A 15,104-nucleotide genomic window follows, 5' to 3' on the forward strand; every position below is an offset into this window, starting at 1 on the left:
CTCCGCAGACATTTGTGGCTAGTAGCTAATGCATTGAACAGCTCAGATACAGAACATTTCCATTATTGTAGAAAGTTCTATTGGACCGAGCTGAGAGCTATAACTCAGAAAAGCCCTGAATAGTGTCCTACTATACCTGTACAAATACAATCTTCAATCAGGTCGTGATTGTCTAAATTTAAATGTCTTACATGGAAATTCCATCCAACTCAGTAAACATTTTATTAAACAACCTTCTGTGTGCCAGGCATTGAACCAACCCCTGAGGGAATAGAAAAACAAATTAGACATGGTTACTGCCTTCAAGTAGTTTATAAGCTAGACAGGGGGAAAGATATGTGATCTGCTTCAGGGGCTGAAAGAACGCAGGAGGCTTTTCCTTAAGCACGAAGTTCTTCCAAGGCAGGTATTGTAAAAGGTACCACATTCCAAACTCTCCAATTTCAGTGTGGAACTGAAGGTTTCCAGAATTCTGGAGACAATGAAATAAGATTTGCACACTGTGACAACACAGGTCTCTAACAGCGAATCCAAGACTGGGATTTTTTTAAAGCTCTCTTCCCTTCCCCACCTTGAGTGTACAATGGAGAGTGCTAGTGTGGTGTCACATGGTGCAACATGGCTCAGTGTTGTGTGAAACTAAGGTAATAGGCTTCTCGTGGCCTATTTCTTCATTTGTAAAATGAGCAAGTTAGACAGTAAGATAATCCACTGCATTGCAAGAAAATCTTGTTCAAACAGTTTATATGTATTTTTACTTGAAAATATGATGAAAAAAATAAGGTTTTACTAATCTGAATTGACACTGGGCTCTGGCCTGGGGCCTGCGTCAGGGGTCTGTGGTCACACCAGGTAAGTGAGGAATCCTGAGTGAGGAGCAAGAGCTCCCCAACGTGGAGGTGCCGCAGCCCTTTGCTTAGATAGCCCTTTGCTACCTAATTAACATAAAATTAATCAGTTCTTCCAAAATGGACAAGTGTTTAAAAAAGAATTCTGCCAAAGAAAATGCGGACTGAAGATAACGCAGATAAGGCAGCTACAGGTTAAACTACATGAAACTGTCAATATTTGCTCAGTTTTTATATTTAAAAGATAGCAATTGAATATAATTCAAACTAATTATATTAAATGCCACTCCTCCAAGTACTAATCAGCCACGATTTAGATAAAAACAATGACCATCTAATGAAACTCGACATAAATAGAGCTCAAAAAGGTAAAATTATGAAAAGGCCATTTGAAATAAGGACATACATCCACTCTCTTTAATTATGAACTATGAACAGAATAAGTATATATTTTGCTTTAAGATAGTAGCTATTGATAGAATGAAGACATCACATGTGAATTGCTTACTTCATCTTTGCATCAACTTTTAATATTTAGATTTGGGGCATATTTTATAATGAACATAACATATGAGCATAACAGTCGTGATTAACGTATACAATTAAAGATATGTGGAAATGACTCCATCTCCGACCACACATCCTCTGAGTAATTTTGATGGGGATGGCTTATGTTCTACTGCCACCTCGTGGTGGGCATTCTGTGAACATGCATCTTGGAACAGTGGGGAGAACCAGTTTGGACTTCTGAGGATCCAAAAGCCCAAGAAAAAAATCTGAGTTCTCACGACAAAGTCACTTCCTGCTACAACACCTGGAAAATGTCATGACCCGAGCTAGTCTCACTTCAGGTAACCTCACCTCTATGGACCTGTCAATTCATCCATAAACTTGATTTTCCAACTCTTGCTGAACTTCAAAAACACTTCCAATTCTAAAATATCTATGTTACTAAGTGTCACTGTTCAGACTTTATGAGCTTCTAAACCCTTTATGTGTTTTCATTTTTTATTCTATGAAGATCTATAAGGTCTCACAGAGTTAGTCCTTCCTTCTCTATTTCTATCACATTGTGTATACATCTTTTACAGTACTTATTAGGTTGGGTTGGTTTGGTTTGTTATTTTTTTCTCAACTTTTTATTTTTAAACAATTGTAGATACATTAGAAGTTTTATTTAAAAATGTGCAGGGAGGTCCCATGCGTGTCTCAGACTTCCGCAATGGTAGCATCTTACATCACTACAGTACATGATCAAAACCAGGAAACTGAAATGAATGCAACCCACAGAGTTTGTTCAGACTTCACCAGCTTTACATGCACTTGTTTGTGTGTGTGCAGATCGTTTTCATGTCTCTGTCATTCTAGAGTCCCTGGTTTCTAGTACGGTGCCTGACAGATAGATGACTTTCTTTATATGTTGCTGAAGACAGGCAGAGAGGAAGAAAGGAAGAGAGGATAAAGGGAGGTAAGGGAAGAAGAATTTATCAAACAATTGATAAATTAAAAGTGGTGTTTTAAAAAGGTAATGCTTAAGTGGATTTTCTGAACATGGTAGATCAATGTTAAAACCCAGCTTTTCACTCACAATGGCAGTCATTTTTTTAAATTACTACCCAATAGATCACTTGATATACCAATCTTCCAGACATCTATACAAATGACATTCATACAAATTACAGACTCTTGGAGTTGTCAGCCGCTGTTCGTTCAGATGGCTGACGAGGCCCTAACAAGCACTTTTGCCTGTTCCTTTCTTTGTTTTAAAGCTATTTCTCATGTGCTGCTGACAGCCTGTTTTACTTTAGGCTGCAACCACACTCTTTGAGTCTCAGTTTTTCCATCTCAAAAATGGTAAAGTTCCCTGTCAGAAATTATATTCTAGTAACTCCATGGCTCTAAGATATCAGAGTTTTCTTTTTGAAACTACTCCTTTTATTACATATAAATATAATAAATATTTGCAAGTAACAAAGATAATGAAAAATATAAAAAAGAACTTTCAAATCACCTATAATTTCATCCATTAATAATACAATATTAATATTTTAACGAATTTCCTTTTCTTTCAGTTGTGCCTACATCCATTCATCTACTTTTGTATAAACATATAAACATGCAAAAAGAATATATTCACTTAATTCAGAATAAAACTATACTCAAAGTCATGGGGTCCTAAGTTTTGAGTGGTAACTTTTCCTGTTAAAACTGTCTCAAAGCTCATGAAATACTCTTTCAATATTTGTAGAGTATTCCATCGTCCTAATATACTGTTTATATATTTCATTATTTCCATATTTTTAACATTTACTCTTCTCTTTTTTGCTATTAGGAATAAACTTGATATAAGCATCTTTGCATAATTAACAACTGGGTCAAATTTTCTTCATTTCATTGAGATTCTTGATACAAGCCTCTGCTGATGAATTGGATTCCAAAAAGGTAGTTACAATTTACATTTATGCCAAGTGCAAGCACATACATTTATTACATCTTTGCTAAAATCATAATTATCTTTAAAACTTTGCCCAAAATTTTATAGTTGAAAAATTATCTCATTATTATTTCTATTTCTTTGATAGCTAAAAAAAGTTAGCCTTTTGTACGTTTTTCAGAAAACATCATATGTATCAAATAACATGGTATTATATTTGTAAATTATATGTATCTTGCCTCATATTTCTATTAGGATGTTGTTGCTTTCTTATTAATGTCTTATTAATTTACACATTATGGATATTAGCCCTTGTTATATCTGTTGCAAGCAATGCTTTTTCAATTTTTGCCCTTAATTATATTTACAATGAGGATTATCTATAGTTTTCTTTTTTTATTCTTAGAAATCCAATGTCTAGAATCAGTTACATATTTATGTACAATTTGTTCTATCACTTATAGTGTTATTTTTATATTTAAAATAGAATACCTAAGAACTTATTTTTATTACAGTATGATGTTAGCTGTTATAGCTTCACTTTTTCCTGAATAACTTCTCTTCTAAGTATTTAGAAATCAATCCCTTGCTTGTTTCTCCACTTCTTTTTCTTTCTTGATCATAAGTGAAGAATCTATTTCAGGAATTGTTGATTCTGATTCAATACCATGTATCTTAGTTGTCATGGCTCTATAATATATTTTATATCTAAGCAGGCAAGTGTCTATTACTCTTCTTTTTCAACATTTTCTATAGATATTTATAACTGTTTATTCTTTCAGACATAGTTAAAATAATAATAATATGGTTGAGCATGGTGGTACACATCTGTAATCCTAATGTTTTGGAAGGCTGAGACAGTAGAACTGCTTGAGGCTAGGAGTTCGAGGCTGCAGTGAGCCATAATCATGCCACAGCACTCCAGACTGAGTGATAGAGCAAGACCCTGTCTCTCAAAAAATAATATTAAAGGCTGGGCTTGGTGACTCATGCCTGTAATCCCAGCACTTTGGGAGGCCAAGGCAGATGGATCACTTGAGGTCAGGAGTTCAAGACCAGCCTGGTCAACATGGCAAAACCCCATATCTACTAAAAACACAAAAATTAGCTGGAGATGATGACATGCACCTGTAGTCCCAGCTACTCAGGAGGCTGAGAGAGGAGAATCACTTGAACCCAGGAGGTGAAGGTTGCAGTGAGCCAAGATCTTGCTACTATACTCCAGCCTGGGTGACAGAGCAAGACTCTGTCTCAAACTAATAACAATAATAATAATAAAATAATAAGATGACAAGAAGAAGAAGAGAAAAGGAAAAGAAGTAGAAGGAGGAGGAGGAAGAGAATCACCTTAGTCTAGTTAGGGTGATGATTCCTTCAAGTGAGATTTATACAGACTTTTTTATCCAGTCATCATGAAATTGAGCCTTGGCTCATTTATTCACAAGAAACACTTCTGTGATATGTTGACCTTTTTTTTTTAACTTAAACTGTTTATTGTGATCTCTTATGGAATGAACCTTGACCTTGAGGTTTGCTTGTTTGCATTTTGTTATGAGAAATTGCATTTACTCACTCTGTGTTTGTTATAGGAACTTATATTTGTTAGGTGACATGCTGTAGAAAATTAGGTTTGCTCATTTAAATTGTAGTGTGAACACTGGTGATATGAAGACTGACTCACTATCTGTAGCCTCTCCAGCTTTGCTCTGTAACCTCACTTTGATATAAGTGGCTCTATTTCCCCCGTTAGTCAGAGAGCATTGAAACTCCTTGAGTTTTCCCTTTAAGCCTGTCTGAGAATAAACTTGGTGATGCTATCAAATCTATTTATTAAAAACAAAAAAACACAAAAGGAATTTTCATCAATACTGACTTTAGGAAGCCATAGTTGATAGGAACAAAAGACAAATAATTAATTCCTGTAAAATTTAATTGGTTTCACAAGAGAAGTGAGTACTTGCTACAAGGGAATGGTGAAAAGGAAATATCTCTATGGGGATCAAATGAAATTTGGGACATTTTCACCCTAGAGACAATGCTTGAGGTAGAAATACTGGGTATTTGGTACAAATACTGGGTCCATTTACACCCTCACAAATGTCACTGGTGAGCACATGGGTCTAATCCAGAGTTTCTCAACCTTGGCACTATTGATATTTGAGGCTGTTATTAGTCCATTTTCACACTGCTATAAAGACATACCCAAGACTGAGTAATTTATAAAGAAAAGAGGTTTCATTGACTCACAGTTCCACATGGCTGGGGAGGCCTCAGGAAACTTATACTCATGGTGGAAAGGGAAGAGGCATATCTTATGTGGCAACAGGCAAGAGAGAACAAGCAAGAGCAGGGGAAACTGCCTTATAAAACCATCAGATCTTATGAGAACTCACTCACTATCATGAGAACAGCATGGGGGAAACCAGCCCCATGTTCCAGTCCCTTCCCAACAGGTCTCTCCCTTAACACCTGGGGATTACAATTCAAGATGAGATTTGGGTGGGGACACAAAGCCTGACCATATCAGGAGCTGAGTAATTATTTGTCGCGGGGGCTGTCCTGTGCATTGCAGGGCGTTAAACATTTGTAGCCTCCATCCACTAGATGCCGGTAGCATTCCTCCTCTCAGTTTGAAAACCAAAAGTCTCCAGACATTGCCAAATATCCCCTGGAGAGCAAAAACCACCCCTGGTTGAGAGCCACTGGTCGAATCCTACCTTTTCTCTTTCTAACAGCAAAAATGAAGGTTTGGAGAAGTATTAGTATAAGAAGGCATATGACTCGCAGGCTCACTTAGTTATCCGTCCTCCCCTGGAGATGGTCCTAATAGTACTGCAGCCCTTAAAACAAGGAAACAGCTTCTCTGAGCAACACAGTCTACAAGGAAGCATTCCAACTTCCAGAAAAGATTTTTCCCATCCTCCTCCTGAAAGGTTCAAAGAGACCATGAAATCTCAACCGTCTTCACCAGCAACATTGTATATCAACAGGAAAAAAACAATTTCATTAGTGTTATTTATAAGACCATAGTATTTTAGCATCCAAAGTTCGTTAGAAATCGTTTGAGTCAGTTTCCTAAATTCCCCTGATGCTTGGCAAATGTGCAGCCTCCCAGTCCCCACCCCAGCCCCACCTGCTCACTGTGTTCAGAAGTAAAGCCTGGGAATCTGTTTTTAGTAAGTGCCCAGATGGTTCCTATGATCAGTGAAGTTTGGACAATGCTGATCTTCATTTTACCAGAGGAGACAGAGGAGTTCTAGGGAAGTCACTTTCCCAAGATCCCCCAGCTGGAAAGGGACAGACCCAGGACTCAGTCCAGGTATCCCAACACCTTATCCACTGCTCTTTCCTTTGCACCAGTTTGAGGGAGGAGAGAACCAGCAAATCCCTCAGAAGGAAGTCTCAGAAACAGACTAGCCTAGGTGGGGTGGCAGGAGGGCTGAGAAGTGGGTTAAAGCAAGTCACCTATTTTTATATAGGTCATGGATCAGCAAACCTTCCTATAAAGAACCAGAGAGGAAAGTTTTGACTTTGCAGGCCATGTGATCTCTCTTAAAGACTCAGTTCTGTGGATAGAGCTCCAAAGCAGCTATAGACAATCCATAAGCAAATGGGCATGGTGGGTTCCAAAAAACTATGTTAACAAAATCAGGGCACTATGCTTTTCCTACCCCAGATATAAATGACATTTGGCCAATATAAATATAAGAGTAGCCTGGAAAGAAAAGGGGAAAAACTGAAAACCAGGTGGTGGGGAGAAAAGGGATTATATCCAGCTTGTAGCCCAAGAGTTAAAAATAAAAGGTTTGTGCTAGTCAGCCAAAAGCATTTAAGCAAAGCTTAAACATGCTAAAGACCAATAATTATGCAAACTAATAAACTGCTCTCCCAGTTTGAGTTCTCCAGAAGCCAACCCTGAGACCAGGGTTTAAGGGCAAATAGTCCATTTGGGGGTGCATTAGTTTGTTTTCACACTGCTATAAAGAACTATCTGAGACTGGGTAATTTATTACAAAAAAAAAAAAGAGGTTTAATCAGCTTTTGGTTCTATGGGCTGTACAGGCTTCTGCTTCTGAAGAGGCCCCAGAAAACTTACAATTATGGCAAAAGGTGAAGGGGAAACAGGCACATTTTCAAATGTCCAGCAAGAAAGAGAGAGAGAAGGGGAAGGTGCTACACGCTTTCAAACAACCAGATCTCCTGAGAACTCTATCGCAAGACAGCACTAGGGGGATGCTACTAAACTGTTAGAAACCATGCCAATGATCCAGTCACCTTCCAGCAGGCCCCATCTCCAACACTGGGAATTACAATTTGACATGAGATGTGGGTGGGGACACAGAGCCAAACCATATCAGGGAGGTAATGTGAAATATCCTTAGGGGATCTGGGAAGTGAGCCTGGGAAAGGACGGTAGGCAAAACAGAGTGTTTTTCAAGCCCCCTGTCATGGTAGGCTTCACCCTGCAGGGAATCTCTGGAAAATAGCAGGGTAGAGCTTCTCAGATTTGCGTGAGCATGAGAATCACCTGGGCAACTTGTTAAAGCACGGGTTCCTGGGTCCCACCCTCAGAGATTCTGATTCAGTAGGTGTATTAGTCCATTTCCATGTTGCTAATAAAGACATATCCAAGACTGGGGGAAAAAAGAGGTTTAATGGACTTACAGTTTCACGTGGCTGGGGAGGCCTCACAATCATGGTGGAAGGCAAGAAGGAGCAAGTCACATCTTACATGGATGGCAGCAGGCAGAGAGGGAGCTTGTGCAGGGGAACTCCTCTTTATAAAACCATCAGATCTCATGAGACTTATTCACTATCACGAGAACAGCATGGGAAAGACCTGCCCCCATGATTCAATTACCTCCCACCGGGTCTCCTACAACATGTGGAAATTCAAGATGAGATTTGGGTGGGGACACAGCCAAACCATATCAGTAGGTCTATATTGAAGCCCAGGAATTGACATTTTCACCAAGCCCCCAGGGCCTGCCAATGCTGCTGATCCGAGGACCACACTTTGAGTAGCTCTGATACAAAGCAGACTAGCAGCATGGGCATCTCCTGAGATGTGGTTAGAAACATCAAAGCTCAGGCGCCACCCTAGACCTACCAAATCAGAATTTTGAACAAAACCCCAAGTGTTTGTATGCACATGGAGGCTTAAGAAGCCCTGGTGTAGAACATGCATTTCAGAATTATACCTCCAGAGAGCAAAGGTGTTCATACATCAACTCTCACCAGTCATTGGTTGAGAACTACTAGGAGGGTGTGGTTAATCCCCTCTCCTGCCCTCTACCTCACCCCCACCTGCCACCCCACCCCACTCCACTTCCACACTTCTCACCTGTCCTGTGTGCAGGACAGCAGCTCCTATCAGCTTGGGAGAAAGCTACAGTGCAAAAAGACACAGATAGAGCAGTTGGAAGTCAGTCCCCTACACTGATGTGGCAAGATCCAGGGATGTGGATGGAGTACCAGCAGGATCTGCTACCATCAATAAAAGACATACTCTGACAGAGTGTCCTGTATTGCCTTCAGATACAGCATGTAATAGTGGGAAGAACACAAGCTTTGGAGTCACCCACCCCTGGGTTCAAAGCCTGACTGTCACACATTAAAATTCCTACGTCAAAGTTACATGACCTCTCTGAGTTTTGCTCTTCATCTGAAAATGGAGATATTCATACCTTCCTTGATTTCTTATTGTCTGGACCAGTATAAGCACTCAAAGATGATACCTAATATTATTTTGTTATTTCTGCCAAGCCATGAACTTCTCATGGTACATCACTTGACACTGAAATATCATAGACTGAAAATCGGGGCTTAGTCATAAGGAATATCAAGGCAATAACTCAAGAAACCATGTCAGCAAAATAATTCTTCAGGAAGTTGGCTTTGAGTGTTACTTTCTCAGAGGCTGCTTCCTCGGTATGTAAAGTGCCAACCTATTTTTTGGAGCAATCATTCTGAGGAAGGACAGAAAGGGAGCAATCTAGTAGAATTAACCTGGTTATGGAGAGATCATGCAAATCGGTCTTCAAAAATGTTCATTAGCTACATTTAGATGAGTATTCTTGTCAGAGGGTTCAAACTAACAATCTTCACAGGTTCTGTATGGGTTGAATGGCATCCCCCAAAAAGACATGTCCCTGTTCTAATCCCCAGAGCCTGTGAATGTGACCTTATTTGGACAAAGCATCTTTGCAGTCGTAATTAAGTTAAAGATCTTAAGATGAGATCATCCTTGATTGACCAGATGGGTCCTCAGTCCAATGGTAAGTGTCCTTAGAAGAGACACACAGAGAAGAGACAGAGGGAGAAGAGGAGAAGGCCATCTAAAGATGGATGCAGAGATTGTAGTTATGCAGAAAAAAAAAAAAAAGGCCTGGAAGAAGCAAGGAAGGATCCTCCCACAGAGCCTTTGGAGGGAGTGTGGCCCTGCCAACACCTTGACTTCTGAATAGCCTCCAGAACTGTGAAAGAATAAATTTGCTTTCCTTTAAGCCACTAGATTTGTGGTAATCTGTTCCAACAGTCCTAGGAAACTAGTACAGTGTCCAAGAGGAAACGAAACAATCTTCAATTCCAAGAAACTATTTGAATTCATCCAGAACCATGCAAGGAGAAAAATAAAATAATAGGAAGAAAGTTTGAGCTCATTAGAGGACACAAGGTTTAGAAACCACAGAAAATATGTCCAAAAGCTTTTTTAACTCAAAAAAGCTCAGAAATTAATTTATGAGTGTTCACATGTGCAATTATCTAATCCTTTGAGAGAAAGCCATGGTACATTCTGTTTACAGAGCATTTGATTAACTGCTGATGTTATTTCCTCTGCATAGCAGATATTGTTGTCCAGGCCACACCATACGGGACTTACCACTCCCAGTTGCTAACATCTGCACGTATTTGCCTGGAGGTCTCCTCTGGTCACCAGATCCTACTCTGCCTGGGCCACATGACAAGGTGATGTGCTGAGGAACAAAAGCCCCCAGGAGTATCCCTCAAGCAGTGTTGGACTGGAGTTGAGGTATATATGCCCTAGCCTCCCAACCCTGGGCTGAGATTCCCAAACAACTGGGTTCCCTGGCAGGACCCAGCCCCACATACCCAAAACACTAAACTGCTTAATGATGGACACTTCCCATCCTGTCTCCCCTTCCCCATTTCCCTACCCGTGTTTCCTGGGACCACCTCCAAAACTAAGAATTTCCCCAAGCTGTTCCTTGAAGAACCCAAACTAAGATTGCTAAAGCACTAAGCTGGAAGTGACTCAAAACCAAAAAGCCTAACATAAGCTTTTGTCTTCTTTAAGAATTCATTCTGAACTGTCTGCCAATTTCATTTTAACATTAGAAAATGATTGAAAATGTTAAATTGGCCTTGCTTGACTTCAACATTTGACACAGTTACTCCAAGGATACATACATTGCGCTATAGAATTCCTCTATTTTTTTGCTATCCCTCCATCAAGTGGTGAGTTCTGACTCCAAAATATGTTTTAGATCAGTCCTCTACTCTCCATTTCCACTGCCAGCCCCCTAGTCCATCCCATGCCATCTCTTGCTAGACTGGTCATCACTTGCTAGACTGTCACCAAATCCTCCTGACTGGCCCATCCCCGATTCCACTCTTGACCCTTCCAATCTATTATTTCATAGCAACTAAGAAAAATGTTTAAAAATATAAATCAATTGATATCACTTCCTTCATTAAAACCTAGCTTCCCATTGCACATAGAATGAAATCCCAAGTCCTTCTTGTGGACTAAAAGACTTCTCCCACTTCTGTTTTAACTCACTGTACCCTTCACTCACGGTACTCCAGGAACCTTAATGTCCTCTCTGTTCCCAGAATGGATCCAGCCTGTCCAGGCCTTTGTGCTTGCTCTTCCCTCTTCCTGAATATTCTGACCTGGCTCTGTGTGTGTCTACTTCCTCCTCATCTCTCAGATCTCCTTTGCAAAAGGGCTTCCCCAATGATTTAATTTAATATCATCTTTTCATGTACCCCAAATGTCATTCTCTAGCACTGTATTCTGTTTATTTCCTTCATAGAATCTACAGTAAATTCTAATCGTTTCAGGTTTTTGTTTATTTACTCATTCAAAAACACATAGACTCAGTCCCTATTATCCCTACGGTGGGCCAGGCCTAGACCCTTGACAGGTGCGGGAGGTACACAGTGATCAAAAACAGACCCTACCTACATTAGGGAGAGAATTTAGTGAGAGAGACTGATGTTAAACAAATAATAACATATGCAGTTTTAAAGCTGACACTGTAAGAAGTGTTATATACAGAGCCCTATGAGAAGTCAAATTAGAAAATTTTGGCCTACTTAGGGATGGCATCCCCAAGGAAGTAAACAATGAGCTGGGGCCTGTGTAGGCAAAGGTTAACTCAGCAAACCTGGGTTGTTCAAACCCTGCACATTTTCAGGAAAAGCCTGTCTTCAGGAATGACCCTGGGAAAAGAGCTCTGAGGCTTTGGAATGCCCTGCCTGATAAGAGTGTGTCTTTATGCCCAAAGCCTTGGGCAACACGGTACCAGTTTGATCACATAGTTTATGTTAACAGTGAGATTTATGGTGAATGCCTGCTCTTGCTCTAGGAGGTTGAAGTCTGAGTAGCCAACATCAATCCTGCAGGTACTACATGCCAATGCAACTGGCCCCCAATTAAAAATTCTGGACACTCACTCAGGGGAGATTCCTAGTTGGTAGCACTTTACTCAGGCAGTCACACACTATTGCTGGAAGAATGAAGTGTGCCCATGTGACGCCACTGGAGGAGGACACCTGGAAACTTGGGCCTGTTTTTTCCTGGACTTTGCCCCAAGTGCTTTTTCCCCTTTCTGGTTTGAATCTGTATCCTTTCACTGTAAGAAATTTCCACCTTGAGCATGACAGCTTTTCTGAGTCCTGTGAGTTCTAGCAAATCATTAAGCCTAAGGATGGTCTCAGGGACCCTGACACAGCACCAAAGAGAGTGTTTAAGGCAGAGAAAACAGCAGACTCAAAAACCCCGTGACATCCCTGAGCATCTCGACATGAGAAGTGTAACAAAAGCTGGTTAGGTGGGAATGGAAGAGAAAGCAGGTGTGTGACACTAGGTGTCCACATTCTCTCTTCACTGGTGAATGGACACCTGTGATTGTTGTTCACTGTTGGCATCACCACCACATACCATTATGCTTGGCATGTCATTGATGCCCAAGAGTATCCATTAAATAAATGAATTATAAATAAGCAAATGAGTGAATGGAATGAATGATCCTCAGCTTTATGTTACATCTTACAGCAAGTGTAATTGTTATTGATTATTATTCCCATGATCATCTCTCTGAATGCTTCAAAGTTGTTTAATTACTTGTATGACACCACTGCCTCAAGACAGTTAAAGCACTAGGGGGAAAAATGCCTCAAAACATTTCAAATCAATTGAAGTTTTTAGATAATTTCCTGAATATATTGCAGTAATTTATAGAAAATGTAGACTTTATCTGCAGGCTAGACTGTAAATTTATGTAAATAATAAAAGCCCTTTATAATTTCTCAAACTCTATGAGTTAAATATACTGGTCATTAATGTCCCCATTTTATAGATGGGAAACTACAAGGTTGACTGCTTTGTCCAAAGTGACAAACAAATTAGTGGCAGAGCAAAGATTACAATTCTGGATTTCTAAATGCTTGTGGAACAGAACCTATTACCTTCAGGGAAAAGAAACTTGGAAGAAAGGAAGGGAAATGAGGCTTGAAGCCAGAGACAGTGGATGCAAGATCAGGCTCTGATGCTTACTAGCCAAGTGGGGCACACATGGGCCACATCCATTGACCTTGGCAAGACTCAGTGTCTTCATCTTTTAAATAAGGATAATAAAACTTATCCAAAAGTACTAGTTCTTAATCTGGGGATAATGTAAGGATCCCTGGATTCACTTCAGAACTCCTTGAAACCATAAGCAAAATTCATGTATAAGTTTCTGTGTACATTTTACTGGTACAAGGATACATAGCTTTCATTAAATTCTCAAAGTGGCCTACTGAGCCCAAAGCAGTGAAGAAACAGCCACTATCTGTTTCAGTGGTCAGTCACCAACAGGACAAGCAATGGTTGAATACAGGCCCTGGAGTGTGACTCCCCATGTTGGAATCTGGCTCAGCTATTTGCTAGTCATACGCAAAGTCCATGACTCATCTTTATGGGGGTGAAAGAGTGCATACCCTCTTAGTCACTTTGAGGATTCAACAAGATCATGCCTGCAAAGTACACAGTATATGGTGCCATCTCAATAAATATTAGCTGCTGTCATTGTTCTCACATATTTCATCCACAATAGCATATCTAGGCGTCACTGGGAGTCATCCTTCTCCCTCACCCACATCATTCAATCCACATCAAATCTGGCTGACTTGCTACCTGAAATACTTCTTGATTTATTCACCTCATTTTCATTGAGACTTTTACCTCATGGAATCAGGCCCTATCCCAGCATATCTCCCTGCTTGATCACTCTGGAATCCTCTCTCCCCCAGGGTGAATTATTAGGCACTACAATGCTAATGTGACTTCAGACCCCAAGGCAGGGGTCTTCACACTGTGCTCCAAGGAGCCTCTTCCGTGGCTGTGGAGAGGGGGCAGGAGCTCCTGACATTCTCACACGAACCAGAGCAAGCCCCAGCTTTGTGGATTTTGTACATGAGGCTTCCTTCCAGTTTGAAGAAAGGGTTTGCCTTAGTTTGGGTTGCCATAGCAAATTACCATCAACTGGGTAGCTTAAATAACAAACATTCCTTTCTCACGGTTCTAGAGGCTGCAAGTCCAAGATCAGGGTGCCAGCATGACCAGGTTCTGGTAAGGGCAGTCTTTCGGTTGCAGACATCCAACTTATCAATGTAAACTCACACAGCAGAAGGACAGCAGGCTGACTCACTGAGGCCTTTTCTTATAAGGGTGCAATCTCACTAATAAGGACTTCGCCCTCATGACCTAATCACCTCCCAAAGACCCCACCTCCTAATACCATCCCATCAAGGGTTAGGATTTCAACGTATGAATCTGGGGAGGACAGAAACATTCAGTCCATTCCAGGGCTGCACTGCTTAAAGCAAACAACAAACAAAAAGACAAAGAACTGCACCCTTACCCTTTACAAAAATGGAAGATAAGGTCCAAGGCACCATTGCCACCTGGCTCCTGGTGTGTCTTTTCTTGTCTCACTATCGTGTTTCCCTCCTCTCTGCCGATATTACTACACTAGATGATCTGGGACTTTTCAAATGTTTTGATCTCAAGACCCCTTTCCCTTTTAAAAAAGTATTATGCCTCCTCTTGTTTTGGTTTCCTGTTACTGCTGAAACAAATGACCACAAATCTGTGCCTTACACAAATTTATTACCTTACAGTGTGGTGGTCAGAAGTCCAAGGCAGGTCAGTACAGCTGCATTCCTTCCGTAGGCTTGAAAGCAAGTAATGATTATATGTTCTGCTGCAGGAGGATTTCTGAGTCAGGGCTGGCAAAATCAATTTATTATTCTAACAGTTCCTTTCCGTAAAGCTATAAATGCATCATTATAATTTCCACCTTTTTACAGTTTCCAGGGGTCTCACACCTTTCAAACTCAATTACTGATGCTGGAGTGTCTGTTCCATGTTGGGGCTGCTGTATTTTCTTCCCTTTCTCATGCTAGTGGTTGGAATAACCAAAATCTTACACCTCAGAACTTCTGCTAAAGTTGTGTGAGTCTCTGGCCATTGGAATCTGGGAATAACTCTGATCAATTGATCGTTTCCTGTATACCTGCCATTGTGTTAG

The 15,104-nt window shown here is 40.4% G+C and overlaps 1 protein-coding gene and 1 long non-coding RNA gene across 2 annotated transcripts in view, besides 2 other annotated features; one reads left to right on the forward strand and one right to left on the reverse strand.

Annotated features, from left to right (window-relative positions):
* The window catches only part of C12orf42 (chromosome 12 open reading frame 42), a 516,167-nt gene that overhangs the window by 499,658 nt on the left and 1,405 nt on the right, over positions 1–15,104 (reverse strand). The gene's annotated exons all lie outside the window — the stretch shown is intronic.
* Positions 513–12,534, forward strand: LINC02401 (long intergenic non-protein coding RNA 2401). The gene is made up of 5 exons (NR_110103.1): positions 513–644; positions 1,387–1,699; positions 2,217–2,316; positions 3,181–3,290; positions 10,131–12,534. It is a non-coding gene; the product is annotated as a long intergenic non-protein coding RNA 2401 (long non-coding RNA).
* Positions 1,350–1,644: a silencer, noted in NCBI's record as "tiled region #5508; HepG2 Repressive non-DNase unmatched - State 12:CtcfO". NCBI's record gives its function as "represses a minimal TATA promoter and a strong SV40 promoter by Sharpr-MPRA in HepG2 cells {active_cell/tissue: HepG2}" and the evidence as "EXISTENCE:reporter gene assay evidence [ECO:0000049][PMID:27701403]".
* Positions 13,156–14,355: an enhancer, noted in NCBI's record as "CDK7 strongly-dependent group 2 enhancer chr12:103954215-103955414 (GRCh37/hg19 assembly coordinates)". NCBI's record gives its function as "activates an origin of replication core promoter dependent on BRD2, BRD4, P300/CBP, MED14 and CDK7 cofactors, with strong dependence on CDK7, by STARR-seq in HCT116 cells {active_cell/tissue: HCT116}" and the evidence as "EXISTENCE:reporter gene assay evidence [ECO:0000049][PMID:35650434]".

Source organism: Homo sapiens, chromosome 12, assembly GCF_000001405.40.
Source record: "Homo sapiens chromosome 12, GRCh38.p14 Primary Assembly".
In the NCBI taxonomy this organism is placed as follows: Eukaryota; Metazoa; Chordata; class Mammalia; order Primates; family Hominidae; genus Homo; species Homo sapiens.